The sequence below is a fragment of the Homo sapiens genome, chromosome 8 (genome assembly GCF_000001405.40).
Source record: "Homo sapiens chromosome 8, GRCh38.p14 Primary Assembly".
NCBI lineage: Eukaryota > Metazoa > Chordata > Mammalia > Primates > Hominidae > Homo > Homo sapiens.
The window spans coordinates 26616028-26634956 of NC_000008.11; the positions used below are offsets into that span (position 1 = coordinate 26616028).

An 18929-nucleotide genomic window follows, 5' to 3' on the forward strand; every position below is an offset into this window, starting at 1 on the left:
ATTCCCTCGTTTACAACACCCTGGAACCCTGAGTTAATTATTAGTCCCATTTCATGGCTGAGGAATCTGAAGCTCTGAGAGTTTGAACTTCTTGTCTAAAGTCACATGGTGAGGAAGTGGTAGAACTGACCTGGACCCCAGGTATCTGGCTCTGGTCTTTCCAATAGTGCCTCTTCAGTGGGTATCCCTTAAATTCTCAGGGGCAGGTGCTTTCTCCTCCTTTTATGCCCTTTTTTTCAGAGCAAAACCACGTTATCCTAACTGCCAAGCACAACCCACAAAGGCTCTTATCTCTCCTTCAAAAAAAGCCATTCCCTGCCTGGTTGATGAGGTCACCTGGCATTTTGCAGGGCATTTTGCAGGGTAGATGCCAGCTCGGGAAAGCCACATAGATAAGCCAGTGGATGGCTTGTGTTACTGCCTCCCTGATGGTTTGCTTTTAATTCAAGTCGATTCATTTATCTGAGATGAAAAAGGGAGAGGCTGATTCACACACATTGAAAAGCAGGGAATGGTGCTGGAGAATGAGGCCGTGACTATTTGGAATAAGATCCTGGAGATGGGCAGTGCTGATAGAGTAAATATCCAGGGAGCAGGGGAAGGTGTGTGCACTGACAACAGGAGTTTTAGCATCTGCCCCTCCTTGCTTCAAGGGGCTGGCGGGTACCCGAGGCGGGGTCGGAGGGCTGAGTGATGGCTCCCATCCTCCCTCTTCCCTCCTGCTCCACGGGTGTAACCTTGAGGTGGGATTGGAGGGCTTGGTGACCTCTCTCCTCCCTCATGCTCCATGGGTATAACCCCAAGGTGGGATCACAGGCTGAGTGAAGGCTCCTCATCCTCCCTCCTCCCTTCTATTCCACGTGTGTAATCCCAAGATGGGATCAGAGGGCAGGGTGGAGGGTTACACATCCTCTCCCCTCCCTCCTGCTCCACGTGCGTAACCCCCAGCTGACTTACAGACTGTGGTACCTGCTCAACTGCTTCAATTCCAGAACTGGAACTGCAGGGAAGCTGTTTCTGACATCCCTGGTTTTAATTACAAAGGGCCCCTTGAGACCTTGTCAGAAATACTGCCAGCCTAGCCCTTTAAAAACTCATGATATTGGGTTCTCTATCAGTGTCGCTCCCTGGCTGTAATATTGTACTATAATTAGGCAAGATGTTTCCTTTGGGGGAAACGGGGTGAAGGGTATGAAGGTTCTCTCTGTGTCATTTCTTAAAACTCCATGTGAGTCTATAGTGAGTTTTAAAAAGAAAAAGTTCCAGCCTGGGCAGCATAGCGAGACCTATTGTCTCTACACATAATAATAATAATAAAATTAGACAGTGTGGTGGCGCACGCCTGTGGTCCTAGCTATTTGGGAGGATGAGGTGGGAGGATTGCTTGAGCCCAGGAGATCAGGACTGCAGTGAGCTGTGATTGCACTACTGCACTCCAGCCTGGGTGCCAGAGCGAGACGCCTTCTCAACAAAAGAAAAAGGATAAAAGAAAAAAAAATTAAAAGTAGGGTCATTTAAATATGGCAAACTCCAAACGGGTCTTCTCTTTGAAGTTTTAGGGAGCAGCTTATTTACTTTGTGTCTCACACTTTGCTAATATCCAAAATGCAGAACATTAGGGAACCGCTTGAGGCAGGAGGGGAAGGAAGCACTGATTCTCGCTGCAGCATGGATGAACCTTGACGACATGATGCCAAGTGAAAGCAGACAGACGCACAAGACTACATCTTTTATGATTCCATTGATAGGAAATGTCCTGAATAAACAAATCTATGGAGACGGGAAGTAGATTGATGGTGGCCAGGGTTTGGGAGTAGCAGGGGTAGGAGGGAATGGGGAGTGACTGTAAGTGGGTACCAGGTTTCTTTTTTGAGTCATGTTCTAAAATTAGATTATTGCAATGGTTGTAAAGCTCTGTGAGTGAACTAAAAGCCACCGGGTTATACCCTTTAAATGAGTGATTGCATAGCATGTGAATTATACCTCAATAAAACTGTTAAAAAAAACAGTAGGGTCCTTTGATAGTTTTAATAGAAGTCATAATAAGAGGAATAGTCCTTTTTCAGAGACTGCTTGTAACTTGCAAATTCAGGCCACTGTCCTGGGGCATGTTCCTGGCTCTCATAAACCAGATTCACAGGCCCACCACGCAGACCATGAGGGTGTTTCCAGTCACTCATCTTGAGGGAAGGAACACCCAGTGTGTGCCAGGCATTTTGCCAGGTGCTTTTACCTACGCTTTATTATGTAAACTTTTTGCAGCCCTGCATGGTATGTGGTTTTACGCCTTTTTTTTTTTTCTTAATAGACAGTCTTTATCTGTTGCCCAAGCTGAAGTGCAGTGGTGCAGTCATAGCTCACTGCATCCCCAAACTCCTGGGCTCAAGTGATCTTCCCCACTTAGCCTCCCGAGTAGCTGCGACTACAGGCACATAACACCATGCCCGGGTAATGTTTTTTTTTTTTTTTTTTGTAGAGTTGGGGTCTCACTATGTTACCCAGGCTGGTCTTGAACTCCTGGCCTGAAGCAATCTGCCCACCTCAGCCTCCCAAAGTGCTGAGATTACAGGTGTGAGTCACTGAACCCAGCTCATGCCTATCTTTTTATAGATGAGTAAATGGAGGTTCCTGGCTGGGTGCGGTGGCTCATGCCTGTAATCCCAGCACTTTGGGAGGCCGAGGTTGGGAGGAACATCTGAGGTCAGGAATTCGAGATCAGCCTGGCCAACATGGTGAAACCCCATCTCTACCAAAAAAAAAAAAAAAAAAAAAATACAAAAATTAGCCGGGCATGATGGCGCGCGCCTGTGATCCCAGCTACTCAGGACGCTGAGGCAGGAGAATTGCTCGAACCCAGGAGGCGGAGGTTGCAGTGAGCTGAGATCGCGCCACTGCACTCCAGCCTGGGCAACAAGAGTGAAACGCCATCTCAAAAGAAAAAAAAGAAAAGAAAAAAGAAATGGAGGTTCCAAAAGGCTAAACCACAGTAAGGGAGTACTGCAGCAAAAACTAGAATTTGGGGGCTCCTTGACCCCCAAGCCTATTCTCTTTTCACTGCTGGTATAGTCGGGTTGCCAAGGCTGCCCTCTTGGAGGGGCCGATAGCTCAGGGAGGTCACCAGAGGAAAGGCCTGTGAGCTCTGTGCAAGTCATTTTCAGGCTTGTGTCCTCAGTGGGGACTCTACTCCCTCCGGAAGTGAGTATGACATTCTGCCCTATTCCCTTGGAGCAGCTCTTCCCAGGAGAGCTTCAGTGGAAAGAAAACTGTGGGAAAACATTTGGAGGCATTTCATGGACACGTTTCTGAGTGTTATGAGCTCTTGAAGGAAGCATGTTTATTTCCCCAAAGTGCTCAGCTGTGTCCGGGTCCTGAGTTTTTCAAGGGTTTATAACCCCCGGAGCTGAATTTGGATATGCAAGGAAGCCATGGGATTGCAGCCAGGGAACATGCTATTTTTTGTAAGTGATGATGCTGTTGTGTAGTAAACAGGCCCCTCGTGGTAAATGGAGAGCAGTGAATGGAGGTGGAGGGAGAAGTTTTGGGAAAAGATTTGCACTCAGTTAATGATGCTCAAGGTAGTTCAAGGCAGACTCAGTAGCTCCCGGGTTGCTTAGTAGAAATGCAGATTACTGGGTCCCAGTCTGGACCTGCAGCGTCAGAAACTCTGGGGTAAGGTCTGGGAACCTGTGTTTTATTTTTATGTTATTTTTTTGAGACAGGGTCTTGCTGTGTTGCCCAGGCTGGTCTTGAACTCCTGGGCTCTAGTGTTCCTCTTGCTTCAGCCTTCCAAAGTGCTGGGATTATAGGCATGCGCCACTGCACCTGGCCAGAACCTGTGTTTTAAGGAACACTGGAGATCATTACTGTGCACCCTGAAGTCTGAGGAGTCTAGCACCAGATGATCTGACGACACATCATTGGGATGTGGAGTCATGGTTCCAGTCACCAGCCTGAAGTTGTCCTTGTCTGTCACCCTCCCCACTTTGTCTAAGGGTGAGTGGAACAGACAGAAAGTAGACTAGTGGTTGCCAGGGGCTGGGAGTAGCAGGCTAGGAGGGAATGGGGAGTGACTGCAGGTGGGTACAGCCTTTCTTTTTTGGTGATGTTCTAAATCTAGATTGTGGTGATGGTTGTAAGGCTTTAGATGGCTTGCTTGAGCCTTGCAATGGGAATGAGTGCCTTGGCCTAAGGAGAAGGGAAGAAAATCTTGTGGAGGAAATGAGCTTTTATTTTTTTCCTTTTTTTTTGAGGCAGTCTCTTGCTCTGTCACCCAAGCTGGAGTGCAGTGGTGCAATCTCAGCTCACTGCAACCTCCGCCTCCTGGGTTCAAGTGATTCTCCTGCCTCAGCCTCCTGAGTAGCTGGGATTACAGGCACCTGCCACCACACCCAGTTAATTTTGTATTTTTAGTAGAGACGAGGTTTCATCATGTTGCCCAGGCTGGTCTCGAACTCCTGGCCTCAAGTGATCTTTTGCCACCAGATATTAAAATGTATCAAAAAGCTGCTCTATTTAGTACTGATTGAGATGAATGGAGCAAAATAGCCCAGGAACAGAACCTGGTATTGTCTCTCTGTAAAGTATGAGTGAATTTAAAACATTATTAGATATGTTATCTAGTAATAATAATGATAAAGTATTTTTTAAAGTCATCATGAATCAATAGAAGGAAAGGATTATTCAGTAACTATGAGCATGTGGGTCTTAGTGTCACCAGTACTTATCCTTCTTCTTAGGAGGGATTTGTTTTTTTAATCTTAAAGGAAATAGATATGTTAAACCTATCAGGCTTCCTTATTTACATTGGCTAGAGAGCCTAACTCTAAATTTAGCCAATGTATAAGACTAAATGTCAAGTATTTATCTATACAAACACACACATATGTACACACTTGCATCCACATCTACATACACATATTTTACATACACATATACACATATAAATACACACGTACATACATACACATACATACATGCCTCTTTCCTGATTTTATTTTACCATTATTTTTCTTCCGCTTTATCTTGCATTACTCTTTCTGGTTTATCACATTTTCTTGTATTTTATGTATCTCTATAAACCACTTTAAAACTTTTTGGGGGAAGAAAGTGGACTATAGATAAAGAAATAGAATAAGGTATAATATATAGAAAAAAGGCAGTAAAAATACACCCAAATTTGAATAGGTTGATTTTGGGGTGGTGGTGGTAATGGGATTATTAACTTTCCCTAAAATTTTCTGTATTTTTGAAATTTTCTACTCAAAGAATCATATCATCAGAAAAAAATTATTATTTCTGCTCATTCCCTTTGCTGGCCAGTGAAAGGAATGCATTTCCATAAGTGAGGGTCTGGCAGAGCAGTGTTGAGGGGAGGGGTCTTTGCCGCAGCAAAAGCTGGTCCGGTTCCCAGGAGAGCCCCTCCTTTGCTGCTTGACCTGATTGCAAGTGGAATGTGAGAGCCAGAAGGAAATATTCCATCACTTATTTAGAGCATTCATTTGGCTCTTCCCTGATCTAGGCGTTCAGTACCTGCTCAGAGGGAGTTTACATTCTAGTCAGGGGTCAGAGAGTAAATGAGTGAAATGGATTCAGAAACGATGCCACCCTGGGATGGTGACATATAGCCCCAGTGAGAAGGATGAGGAGATGCCCAAGTCAAGAGCGAGGGGAATGGGTTTCCAGAGAGAGAGAGGGCTGCTTGTGCACAGGCTTGGAGTTGCCCAGGGGTTGGGCAGGTCAAAGTGAAGAATGGCCGGGGTGGCCATTGTGGGTGAGCAGGTCAGGGATAAAGAGTACCTTGGAGAGATCAACTAGGACCGGATCTGACTGGCCAAGAGAAAGAGTTTGAATTGGACTCTAAGGATGGTAGACAGCTACTAAAGGATTTAATAAGGGGAATGGCAGTGTTTGATGAAAGGTTTAAGATCCTTCTAGCTGCTTCTGAAGGGTGATTTGTAGAAGGACAAGAGATGAAGCCAGGGGAGTGGGTAGGGAGATTCTGCCCAAACTGATTGCTACACAGTGATATTTTTATGCTTTTCTTTTTTTTCTTTCTTTCTTTCTTTCCTTCCTTCCTTCCTTCCTTCCTTCCTTCCTTCCTTCCTTCCTTCCTTCCTTCCTTCCTTCCTTCCCTCTCTCTCTCTTTCTTTCTTTCTTTCTTTTATTTTTGTTTTGGGTGTTGATGAGGGGACATACAACTTAAGAAGAAAAATTGGAATTATTTTGTCAACTTTTCTACATCAGCATTTTACTGATGGAATAAGCTTGCATTTGAACTGGACATCATTTTTGTTTTTATTAGATAACATTATCTGTATTACAGATACCAGATATGTGTGTACCCATTTATTTACTAATCACTAATACTTACAAAAAAGTAAATTTTGTCAAAAGAAAATTCAGCTTAGATGGCCATATTGTATGTGTGTGTGTGTGTGTGTGTGTGTATATGTGTGTGTGTGTGTGTGTGTATATATATATTTTTTTTTTTCTTGAGACAAGGCCTTGCTCTGTTGCCCTGGCTGGAGTGCAGCGGCACAATCTTGGCTCACTGCAACTTCTGCCTCCCGGGCTCAAGCAATTCTCCTGCCTCAGCCTCCCAAGTAGCTGGGACTACAGGCATGTGTCACCATGGCCAGCTAATTTTTGTATTTTTAGTAGATACAGGGTTTCACCATGTTGGCCAGGCTGGTCTCAAACTCTTGATTCATGTGATCTGTCTGCCTTGGCCTCCCAAAGTGCAACGGCTATATTTCTGACATATACAAATCCAAGCCCAGTTGATCAGAATTTAGCAGTATCTGCAAGATTTGAACCATTTCAGAAATCTGAGCTCTCTAGCATTACATGGACTGATGTTTTCTTAGCTCAGAACTGCTTACCTGTGTGTAGAAAATCTAATATTTAGGAAGAATAATTCATTGCTTTAAGTGTTCAGTCCTGGTTTTTATTTCTATTGTTGCACAAGTTTGATTTGACCTTGGACAAATCATTTCAGTTTGTATTTTAGTGCTTGTGTGCAGAAGATGGGTAGTAATAGTCCTGGTAATCCTCCTGCCATCATGTTAACTGGGTGAGAGCTCTTCAAGACCTAGGAGAGATAATAGCAGGTGCAAAGTCCCTGTGGTGGGAGGCAGCAGGTAGATATTTTAGGAGCTGAAAAACGGTCTGTGTAGCTGGAGAGCAGGGTACAAGGGAGAGGTGGTCCAGGGTCATGTTATAGAGGTAGGCCAGGGCCACACTGGTTGGGGTTTTGCAAACCTTACTGGGGACTTGAATCTTTATCTGAAGAGCAGGGGGAAGTCATTGGAGGATTTAAATCAGGGAATGACATAAGATTGATGGATATGCTATCTCCTTTAATCCTCATAACAAATGTATGTGCTAGGTAATATCCCCGTTTTAAAGCAGCACAGAAATTAGGGCAGTGGAGATTAAGGAGTTTACCCCAGGACACCATGCAGGTGAATGATGGAGCCAGGAAACCAACTCGGGTCAGCTTGCATCCAAAGTCCTCAGTCTTCCAGATCAGCGTACCTCCATAGTAATATAACAATGACTGCAGTTTTAAAACACTTTGAACTCTTAAGATGAAAGATTTCCCTTAAATTACAAAGTGGTATTATGCTGCAGAAATGTGAGCGGTAATGAGAGAGCAGGTAATGCCCGGGAACTTTTGAAAGGCCCGGTCCGTGTGGCTCTGCTCCAGCACCTTCAAGTTCCCTGCCGTCTGGCGGGGGGCGTCTCATAAGCTGCTTTCAACACAAAGAAGGGTTTGGCTGCTCCCCGGCCATTTGACACTGCCATTGTCCATAAGGACTCGTTGTCCGTGAAATGCACCCAAAGCTTGAGCTTTCAGGGGTTTTGGGAAATCAGATCTGGGCAGTGCATGTGTGGTTTCGCTGGAGACATCATCCAATGCCAAGTTTCTGCTTTCTGCTTTCTCCCTCTTGGATAATCAGCTGGGTTACATGGATTCTTAGAAGCTGGTTGTAGAGATCACCATCTCGATTTTGAACCCAAGAAGCCTTATTCAGGGTTCAAGTGGGAAAATACCTGCTGGCCCACGGCCCTTGAGGCTCTTGGTGATGATGACATATGTCTGTTTCTTTCTAGTTGACCACGTTGTTCCTGAGCCTGGGACAAGCCTGCTCGCTGCCTTTGACCAGTGGAGGGAATGGGCCGACAGCAAGTCCTGCTGTGACTACTCTCTGCATGTGGACATCAGTGAGTGGCATAAGGGCATCCAGGAGGAGATGGAAGCGCTTGTGAAGGATCACGGTAGGTTGCACTGAGTCAATGCCCTCTGCAGATGTTTCCGCTTCAGTCCATCAACTGGCACAGCCCTGGGAAGAAAGTGATAATGCTTCCAGATCCCATTTGTGCCTCATGCCCATGCCTGCCCCTGGGAAGGAGAGAGGGCTTTGGGCCGCAGCTTATGCTGTTTGGAGGTGGCCTTACCCAGTGCAGTAACATGAGCCTTCATTGATGATAAGAGAAGATGAGGCTTACTGCTGGGACCTGTTCTTAGGTGACAGCTGCTCACAGCTTATTGGTTTGTGAGCACCGTGCTCTCTAGCCAGGGTGGGGAGTTGAGGCTGCTGAGAGAGAGATTTACCCTCAAAAGATAACAAATACATATCTCAGTGAGGATTTGACAGTCTCAGGAGAGTGTTGGGCAGCCCCTTCCTACAAACCTGGATGGATCTAGGATAGATTTGAGGGCTATGAGACACTTCAAAACTGAGTGACAACCTGAGAGGGCTTTTCCTTTCCCTAGAATTATTTTGGAGAACAAATTTCCAGGGATTGGGAAGATTCACAGAGAGGCAGGAGGAATCTTTACCACCTCAAGGTGCCTCTGGGACTCTTGTCAACAAGAACCTCGGGGGTTTGCGGGGAAGAGCCAGGCCACATCATCTTCCTGGGTCTCGCTGGGCTTGGCTAGAGACCAGATTAACTTCACTGGATCTTAGTGTTCAGGGAAACACCTATTGCTTTAGGGTTCTGGGGACTTCCAGGCTTAGAAACACCATGTGCTGTGAGTGACATGGCAAGAGGGAAATCTCTAGGTACTAGAATGATAGAAAATGCCCCGGAATGAAAAGCAAGAGTCTTGGGTTTATTTCTCTGATCTTCCACAGACTAACTGTGTGACCCTGGGTAATTTGCTGAAATTTTATGGGTCTCAGTTTTTTAAACATTTCTCATATATGAGGGTCTTGGACTAGATGTCCTCTAAGATTCTTTCCAGCACAAAGCTTCCACATAAAAGAAAATAGGTAAACTTTGACTTTTCTCACTTTTGATCATGCGGAGACTCCAAGTGGTTTAACTGTGGATACTTAGACTGAATCTGCTCCAAACCAGGCAGGAGGGTTACCATGGTAACTGTTGCCTGGCAACGGGAGAAGGGCCAGGATGTCCAGAGGCATTTAACTCAGGCAGCTCCCAGCACCCCCCAGGTGGCTTGAATTAAACTCCAAGGCTGCGAGGTTGTCAGGACAATTGTTTAAAATTGTGATGAATGTTGGGCAGGGATGTTTGGTCTGGTGCCTAGGGAGGCAAGAACTCCAAGACGCCAGGATGAGAATTGCGACATCTGCTTGTTGAACTAATGGACCTTTTCTTACTTAAAAAATCATTTGCTTAAAAATCAGCATGGAAGGCAGTCTGTCTGCCAAAGAAAAGACATTTATCACAGTTCTTCATAGGCAGAAACTTCTAATTCATTTTCTTGTTACAGTCGCAACAGACTTGTTTGGTAGAGGCAGCTTAAAAAATTAACTGTGGTAAAATAAATATAACATTCAAGTTACCATCTTAACCATTTTTAAGTGTGTGTGCAGTTCATTGTTTTAAAATACACTCATAATGTTGTTGCAACCATCACCACCCTCCATCCACAGGTCTCTTTATCTTGCAAAACTAAAACGCTACACTCACTCATTAAACACTAACTCTCCACTGTCCTTCACCCCAGTCCCTGGCAACTGCTGTTGTACTTTCTGTCTGTGAAATTGACTTCTAGGGACCTCATACAAGTGGAATCATATAGTATTTGTCCTTTTGCAACTGGCTTATTTCATTTACCATGATGTCCTTAAGGTTTCTCCATGTTGTAGCATGTGTCAGGGTGTCTTTCCTTTTTAAAGGCTGAATAATATTCCATTGTATGGATAGACCACATTTGGTTTATTCATTTATCAGTTAATGGAGGCTTGATTTTTGCTTCCACCTTTTGGCTATTGTGAATAATTCTGCTATGAACATGGATGTGCAAACACTGGCAACTTTTAATTTTGATATACTTGTAAACTTACAGGAAGATTATAAGAATACTAAAAAGCATCCTTGTGCCTCTTCCTCCCACATTCACAGGTTATTTATATGGTACTCTGCTTCCTTTACCATTCTGTGTCTCCATTTCTCTCCTCTCTCTTTCTCTGTACTGAAACACACACACACACACACACACACACACACACACACACACGTACACACACAGACAGTATTATCACTTTCTTATCCCTTATTTGGTTATTTGGTTTATCTATTAAAAGTCCACTTCTCTATTTTGTCCGCACTAGGGGTAAATTCCTTCCTCGTGTACATGGCTTTCAAAGATCGCTTCCAGCTAACGGATTGCCAGGTAAGAAAGTCGGCTTTTCGGAAGAGGCACCCTGACATTTGGTACCTTCAGGCTGTGGCCGTTTGGGAAAGCAGTCTCCGATGTATGCATGTTTCCTAGCTTCCTGGGAAGTGGCTGGTGGATGCAGTTACTGATGTAACTGAGCCTTGGAAGAGAGTATGAACGCAGTGCCCTGGCCCCCAGCACTGCCACTCCGCCGCCCTGGATCTGAGGCTCTGCCCCGCACGGCGTGTGTGGGAGCGGCACTCAGAACCTCCTTAGCAAACCTGGTGCAGAGCCAGGTGTCACCCAAGAGCTTCTCACTCCCGGTCCACGTCCTGCTAAGTTGTACTGCCTCTGTTAATTTCTGAGGGGTCTTTCTCCATCAAATGTGGCCAGTAACATTGCCCTCATCATATCAAAAAAAGTCAGGCTAATAGAATCGCCTAGGTGTCCTGTTTCTCATCCCAGAAATGCCTCTGGTGGGGAGATGATTGTCTTTGTGAACAGGAAGATGGAAGTCCCTGTCTCTGATCCCACCCTTGTCTCTCTCTCAGATTTATGAAGTACTGAGTGTGATCCGGGATATTGGCGCCATAGCCCAAGTCCACGCAGAAAATGGCGACATCATTGCAGAGGTACAGGGCTTTCTTTTTCGTCATTTCTTCATCACCTGGAGGGTGAGAGGCAGGCTCAAGAAAGGGAAGCTGCATCTGTAGCTTAACACCAAGGTGGAAAAGCAGAGGGACCTGGTGTTCCCTTGCTGGAGCTCTGCTCAGTCTCACCCATGGCATGAATGCCAGTGACACACGTGCCTCTCCGTGTGTGCCACAGAACATCTAAGTCAGTTACTATTGCAGAGAGAGGCCATTTCTCTCGGTGCTGTAACGCAGCTGCCTTGGGTGGGGTACGGGAACCCTCACGTCACACACAGGCATTTTACACCGTGGCTGAGGGTTGCAAATGCACCAGTCGTCAGCATCCCAGGGAACAGCTGAATGGGTTTTGGGAGGCTGTAATTGATCCATCCTGCTCAGGCGGGACTGGGAACAGGGCAGTGAACCCTTCTCTTCATGAGGTCTTGGGATGAGGGCAGAACGATCGGCAGTGGTAATTTTCCATCTTGCCCGGATAACTGCATGCCCGGGCCTCTGCCATCAGAGCTGTGCAAAATCCACTCTCCCTCACAGCCTGACTTTCTCTAAACATTGCAGGAGCAGCAGAGGATCCTGGATCTGGGCATCACGGGCCCCGAGGGACATGTGCTGAGCCGACCTGAGGAGGTGAATGTTCACCAAGCGGAATGCGTGAATCAGTGTCCCTTGGGCACTGTGCAGAGCCTCAGGGAACCTGCTTCCTGCCTGTTGAGAAGGGGGCTTCTCTGATGCTGACTGTGGTCTTTCTGAGAAGCTGTGGGTCACGTGTGTGTCTGTCTGTCTACGCAGGCAAAGTGAAGTGTTAGATTGCTCCTGAGGGTAAGGTGGTGTGGACTGTTTCGCCAGAAGATTCTTCTTTCTGTCTGTAATTCTTCAAGCCCTTGCTTGTATAGACACAAACAGTTCTTCATTGGCATCCTGCAATGTAGATTTTAGTGGTTCACAACTTATGGTCTCCAATATCTTACCAAAATTCACCAAAACGTAGTTGGAAGGATGGAAAAGCTCTTCTAAATGCCTAGAAGGCGTGTGGGGAATTGTTTTTCCAAGGTAACCCTGCACAGGATATCACATGATATGCAGAGTTTGGTAGACAGAATCTTTTAAAATTATGGAGGGAAGATTCAGAGCAGGGGCCTGTGCTGGCTCAAAGGTGGAGACTCACCGTCTTGGTGAGGTGTGTGAGTTCGAAGGGAGGGTGCACACGTCTTAGGTAATGGAGAACCTGTGTTCATCAGTTAGAATTTGTGGCTGTGAAATACTTTTCAGAAGTTGGTTCCTTAATGACAGGCTGGATGTCAGGCTCTAGGGGCCCTGACTAGGGAGCAGCCTGCAGCTTCGAGTGAAGCGTGCAATCAGGGAATCTCCAGGGAACCACCAGGATTTCCCCTTCATGGGAGGAAGTGGCAGAAAAGGGACTGGCGCCGAGCAGTGGGGGAAGATCACCAAGGGCCTGAGTGGAGGCTGACAGTGAGGAGGCTCCAGAAGCCTGGGAGGGAGGAGCTTGGCAAGAGCTCCCTGCAGGGCTGTGGCCACTGAGTCACTGAGTGTCAGCACCGTGCCACCACCCTGAGTTTGGGATGTGGTCATGTTCATACCAGTGTGGGAGGGGAGCCGGTCCCTGTGATAAGGAAGTGGATTCAGGAGGGCTTGGAAGCAAAGGCACCATCTGTGTACTGCCTCGGGTGCAGGAGGGGGTGGTTGGGATCCTTTCAGACTTGAGGGGAAGGGATGAGGCTGGAAGAGGAGAAAGGAGTCAAGACAGGCAGAAAGACGAGAGTGGGAGCCACTCGGAATGCTTTGCACACAGTCAGGGTCCACGCTTTGTTCTATCCTTCTTGCTGCATGCATATGCACACATAGACACACATGTACACACAGACATAGGCACACGCAGACAGGTAGGCACACAACAGACATAGACACACATGCATACACATAGTAACACACACAGACACATAGACACACAGACAGCTAGACACAGCCATAGACACCTACACACACACACATACACATAGACACACAGACACATACAGACACAGACACAGACATACACAGACACATACACATGCAGAGGCAGATACACAGAACTGCATGCTCCAAGACACTTTCAGTAGCATTTGAGGCCCTGAGGACATTTTCCTCTCCCCAGATGACAGAATGGAAGCCGTGACATTTTCAGGATTGCACGTTCCTGCTTCAGGCCAGGGATGCAGGCCCTTTTGTAGCTATCAACCTTCTCATGCGTGCTAAAGGCTGAAAGGGTGGCCTGGCACAGGCCCGAGGATGAGGGAGGCAGGCAAGCCCCTGTGTCAGCTGAGGGAAGCCCCATGCTGAGACCGTGGCTGGTGGACAGTGATTGCAGGGGACAGCTTGCAGGCGAGAGCAGGCTAAGATCAGCCGACCATAAACATGCCTGAGGCTGATTTTATTTTATTTTATTTTATTTTTTTTCCTTTTTCTGGAGAACGGGGTCTCACTATATTGCCCAGGCAGGTCTCGAACTCCTGGGCTCAAGCTATCCTCCCACCTCTTAGCCTCCCTGAGAGCTGGGATTACAGGCGTGAGCCACCGCGCCCGGCCGAGGCTGATTTTATGCACATTTGTGTGCACACAGATCCACGTGCACAAGCACACACACGTGCACACACTCACGTTCACACACATATACATACACACACGTCCATAGGCACAGACATGCACGTGTACACACACAGACACATTTTAGCATACGCACATGTGCACAGGCACAGACACGCACATATGTGTTGTACCCACGTATTTTCACATACACATATACACATGTACAAGCACAGACACGCATAGGTGTACACACACATTTTCACACACACATGCACATATGCGCTTGCACACACCTATGCAGGCACCATCCCCCTTTGCAGACACCGCAAGGGTTCGTTTCTGTGGTTTCACTTCTCCCTCTGGGCCGGCTTCTGTGACTGCCCTCGCCAGATTCCCCAGGATCCACCTGTCGGGTGGTTTAAACCATGGCAGCATAAGCCATGGTTGCTCTCAGCCCTGACCTCCCTGGAATTGGGCTTTGTTCCCAGGGCTTTGTTCCCAGGGCTTTGTTCCGCCCTGAAACAGTCTTGGGATTGGGCCTTGGAAATGCACAGAGTCCGGGAGAGGTGGAGGGCTGACACAGTTCTCACGTGAGCCCTGTTCAAAGCTGCCTTCATTTAGTGCTCACGTGTGCTGGACACTGTGTTCCTGGCCCACATTTCAGTTTTGTAACTGTCCTGTGCAGGAGGTACAACATCTCCTTCCCACAACTCCAGGGATGCCATTCATGCAGGCTGCATGGCTGTATTCAGGGAGCACCATTTACATTCTACTGCCCATGAGTGGTGGTACCAGAGCTGTGCTGCAGTGGGCTCCTTGGTTATCTCTCTTTAGATGAGGACACTCCAGAAGCATGAAGTTAAGTGACTGCCCAGTTATCAAAGCAGAGAGCTAGAAAGTGCAGGGTCCTGCCTGCTACCCCAACCCCTCCCGCAGTGTACACATACTCAGCTTAAAGCCACACCTGGACCTGGGCTTTATTAGAAAGTTTCCTCCTGCTTTCCTCCCGTTTGGTGACTGGGAGCCAGTCCCTCTGCCTGCCATGTACCAGCTGTACAAGGAGGTGAGAAGATGTCCTCTGAGAAAAGCAAATGCCACTTCTGCAAATGCTACATGAGGCTCCTGCTGAGACCCTCACTCTTCAAGTTTTAGAGCCTTCTGAGGGGCTTGCATTCCTTCTTTCTCCTGCTTTCTGCAGAGAAGTACACAAACACAGAAAGAAAGGGCCCTGGCTTTGCTGAAGAGGAAAATGCTCTCAGAGAGTTGTTATTCTGGTTGCTTGTATTCATCCATTTTCATACTACTGTAAAGAAATACGTGAGACTGGGTAATTTATAAAGAAAAGAGATTTAATTGACTTACAGTTCTGCATGGCTGGGGAGGCCTCAGGAAACTTATAATCATGGTGGAAGGTGAAGGGGAAGCAGGTTCCGTCTTATGTGGCGGCAAGAGAGCGAGTGAGCAGAAGGCAAACTGCCACTTTTAAACCATCAGATCTCGTGAGAACTCACTCATTATCACAAGATCTGCATGGGGGAAACCTTCCCCATAATCCAGTCACCTCCTACAGGTCCCTCCTTCAACATGTGTGGATTACAATTTGAGATGAGATTTGGGTGGGGACACAGAGCCAAACCATGTCATTGCTATTTCAACCAGAGAAATTGAAACCATTTTTACGTGATTAGGCCCAGCAGCTGTTGCCCTGAGAACTTCAGAATCCCCAGCAACTGATTATGGAGTCTCCTTGAGGGCTGGCAGATCCAGGGATGCACCAGTATGGGATGCAGTTTTTCAGCTGATTTAGAGGCCCCTCTTGTATGCCAGGCCCTGAGTCCTTTTAGCCATATGACAGCCCAGTGAGGCGAGGAGGGGGGATGCAGGGGGTTTGAAAGGCTTGGATAGTGGCAGAGCGTGATTAGAACTCAAGCCCACAGGCACCTGCCGGCTGACGTCTCCTCTCATGGTGAGTTTGTCAAGAGGGATCTGTTGTGTGTTAAACCCTGTGTGGGTGATAAAGAGAACAAGTATGGAACAATTTTGTGTGAATTTTAGCTTCCCAGTCTACTTGGGGAGGTGCTGCTGATGGAATGAAACACATCCCAGTGTAACTTCTCTGTAGTTTGGTGACCTATCCATCACTAGCATGATGGTTCTCTTGGATTTGAACTTTCCAAAACATGTTCCTAACCCACTAGGCCTTTCTTCCCAACCCACCATGTGAGACCACCCAGTAGGATTTTCCCTCGTTTTCCACCCAGAGGATTGGAAAGGACACTAGGGAGTGCAGACATCTGGAACTGAACCATCTGTGGCTGAGAGGAGTGGCGACTGAGCCTGCGTGACAATCCGGGCAGTGCCTGGCATTGTGGGGATGCAAAACAGATAAGAAAGTGATCCTTTCTGAAGGGACTGTGGACAAGGCGAGGAGAAAGAGGTAGACAGAAAGTGAGTGTAGAGATAGAATTTGACAGTGGCTCTGAGCTGTAAGACTGATGTCTGGGAAGAGAGTGGGGACTTGGAGATGAGGATAATGAAGAACCCTTCACAGGGACGGGCACTTTCCAGCAGGCCTTGTAGAATGACAGATGTCCTGACACTGCTCTGTGTCCCTGGACAGGTCATTTCCCTTTCTGAGTTACCTCATCATTAAAATCAGAAGATAGGCGTAGTGGCTTGTACCTGTCATCCCAGCACTTTGGGAGGCCGAGGTGGGAAGATTGCTTGAGCCCAGGAGTTCAAGACCAACCTGGGCAACATGGCGAAACCCCGTGTTGGGACAATAAATGGAGTAGTCACCTGTATCTCTGGGAGGTGCTGAGGGTTCTAGTGGAGTCCATCTCACACTTCACACCCATGCAAGACGTCCCTGTCCCCGCCTGGTGCTGCCGGGCCACAGGCATCTCTGCTGTAAGTGGAGAGAGAGGGCTTCTCCTTCAGCTGTCTTAGGAATGAAAAACATTTGGGTGTTTAATATGCTTTTTCAAGAGCCCTTTGCTTGGATTGTGGATTTCTAGACATCCCTTTTCACATAGTTGATGCCTGAAAGGCCAAATGTGAATGAAGTTGTCTCAGCTCTGCTAAATTAGATTACCAGTTAATGCAATTACAGAATTTAATCTTTTGGCCAAGCTCTGGTGGAGACAAGGTAACCAATTCAGTTATAGGGGCTCAGTTATTTCTTGTGAAAAATAACAGTGTTCTGTGGAGCAGCCTAGACTGAAATACCATGAACATAAAATGAAATCATTTATATGCTTAGCAAACATTTTTGAGCACCTGCTGTGTATCAGACAGGACATTGGGAGCTATTGGGGGCAGGGCATGGAAGATACTAAGCAGTGAGTAAGCCCCAGTCCCTCCCCTCCAAGAGTTCAAGCCAGAGCCCTTTTGCTGGGATGGAGAGGGAGCCAGTGATGTTCTGAGATCTGCCTTCCACAATTTCACCTGCTCCTTCCCTTGCTGATTGGTGATTCCTCTGTAGGATAGAACTTGATCCAGGGAGTCTTGCCTGATCAGATATTCCACAGTCATCATGTGGGATTTGAAATATCATTCATCTGAACATCCGATGTATTTATTTATTTATGAGATGAAGTCTCTCGCTGTCACCCAGTCTGGAGTGCAGTGGCGCCATCTCAGCTCACTGCAACCTCCGCCTCCTGGGTTCCAGCGATTCTCCTGCCTCAGCCTCCTGAGTAGTTGGAATTACAGGCATGCGCCACCATGCCTGGCTAATTTTTTTTTTTTTTAATTTTTAATAGAGACAGAGTTTCACCATGTTGGTCAGGCTGGTCTCGAACTCCTGACCTCAGGTGATCCACACTCCTCAGCCTCCCAAAGTGCTGGGATTACAGGTGTGAGCCACCACACTGACTGGAACATCCGATTTAAAGCGCCAGATTATTTACTCAAGCAGTTCTTCAATCTTGTGCTGAAGGTCGTACCAGGCTGTGGCTGGCCATGTCTGTGCTTCACACACAGGGGGCCATTGGTGTAGACAAACGGGGCCCACTCCGTTCCTAGAGCCCTGTGAGGCTGCATTGTTTCGTGGGTGATGCTGACTTCATTCATGAGCATTTAATGGGAGCCCAGCACAAACTCCACATCACTGAATATCTTGACTCAAGACCCTGGGAGCAGAATGAATATATGGAATTGAGAGCAATCAGTGTCTGTGTGTGGCGGTTCTCAAACGTTAGTAAGTGTGAAAATCACCCACATTGCTGGGTCCCGCCCTCAGAGTTTCTAGCCTGTGAGTTTCTAGTCCAGGGCAGAGCCAGAAAATCTGCATTTCTTACAGACTCTGGGCCAGTGCTGATGTCACAGGCTTGCTGCCTGCACCTGGAGAAGGGTCAGAAGGGAGTTTTCTTTTCTTTTTCTTTTGAGACTTAGTCTCACTTTGTTGCCCAGGTTGGAGTATGGTGGTGCAATCTCAGCTTACTGCCACCTCTGCCTGCTGGGTTCAAGTGATTCTCCTGCCTTATACTCCCAAGTAGCTGGGATTACAGTCACCTGCTGCCATGCCCAGCTTTTTTTTTTTTTTTTTTTTTAATTGTATTTGTAGTAGATACGGAGTTTCACCATGTTGGCCAGGCTGGTCTTGAACTCCTGATCTCAGGTAATCCACCTGCCTCAGCCTCCCAAAGTGCTGGGATTACAGGCATGAGCCACTGTGTCCAGCCACAGGAGGGAATTAGTTCAACCAAACCAATGTTGAGAGACACAAGGCAAGTCATACTCCTTTGAATTGTCCCCTGGGGTAGGACCTTGGAGACCAGCAGCCTCGCCTTCATCTTAGCCTCTCTCTGGGGTGGAGGATAAAGGTAGCGGCTCGTGGGGTGGGCTGAGCCACATTCTCATGCTCTGCTGCTGTTTTGCAGGTCGAGGCCGAAGCCGTGAATCGTGCCATCACCATCGCCAACCAGACCAACTGCCCGCTGTATATCACCAAGGTGATGAGCAAAAGCTCTGCTGAGGTCATCGCCCAGGCACGGAAGAAGGGTGAGTGCTGTGGCCGGACTGGCTGATGGCAGGTGGGGAGGTTTGGAGGGGAGGGG

The 18929-nt window shown here is 47.2% G+C and overlaps 1 protein-coding gene across 3 annotated transcripts in view, besides 2 other annotated features; it reads left to right on the plus strand.

The window, feature by feature from the left end:
• DPYSL2 (dihydropyrimidinase like 2) overlaps window positions 1–18929 on the plus strand; it is a 144145-nt gene that overhangs the window by 101997 nt on the left and 23219 nt on the right. For all 3 annotated transcript variants that reach the window (NM_001197293.3, NM_001386.6, NM_001244604.2), the window contains exons 4-8: window positions 8116–8280; window positions 10590–10651; window positions 11188–11268; window positions 11845–11913; window positions 18753–18873. In NM_001197293.3, coding sequence (NP_001184222.1) covers window positions 8116–8280; window positions 10590–10651; window positions 11188–11268; window positions 11845–11913; window positions 18753–18873 — 498 coding nt within the window. The remainder of the gene's footprint in view (window positions 1–8115; window positions 8281–10589; window positions 10652–11187; window positions 11269–11844; window positions 11914–18752; window positions 18874–18929) is intronic.
• Window positions 11464–11963: an enhancer, noted in NCBI's record as "H3K27ac hESC enhancer chr8:26485007-26485506 (GRCh37/hg19 assembly coordinates)". NCBI's record gives its function as "activates a minimal SCP1, AML or CMV promoter by ChIP-STARR-seq in primed H9 embryonic stem cells {active_cell/tissue: H9 hESC(primed)}" and the evidence as "EXISTENCE:reporter gene assay evidence [ECO:0000049][PMID:30033119]".
• Window positions 12507–12796: an enhancer, noted in NCBI's record as "active region_27131". NCBI's record gives its function as "activates an Ori minimal core promoter by ATAC-STARR-seq in GM12878 lymphoblastoid cells {active_cell/tissue: GM12878}" and the evidence as "EXISTENCE:reporter gene assay evidence [ECO:0000049][PMID:35858748]".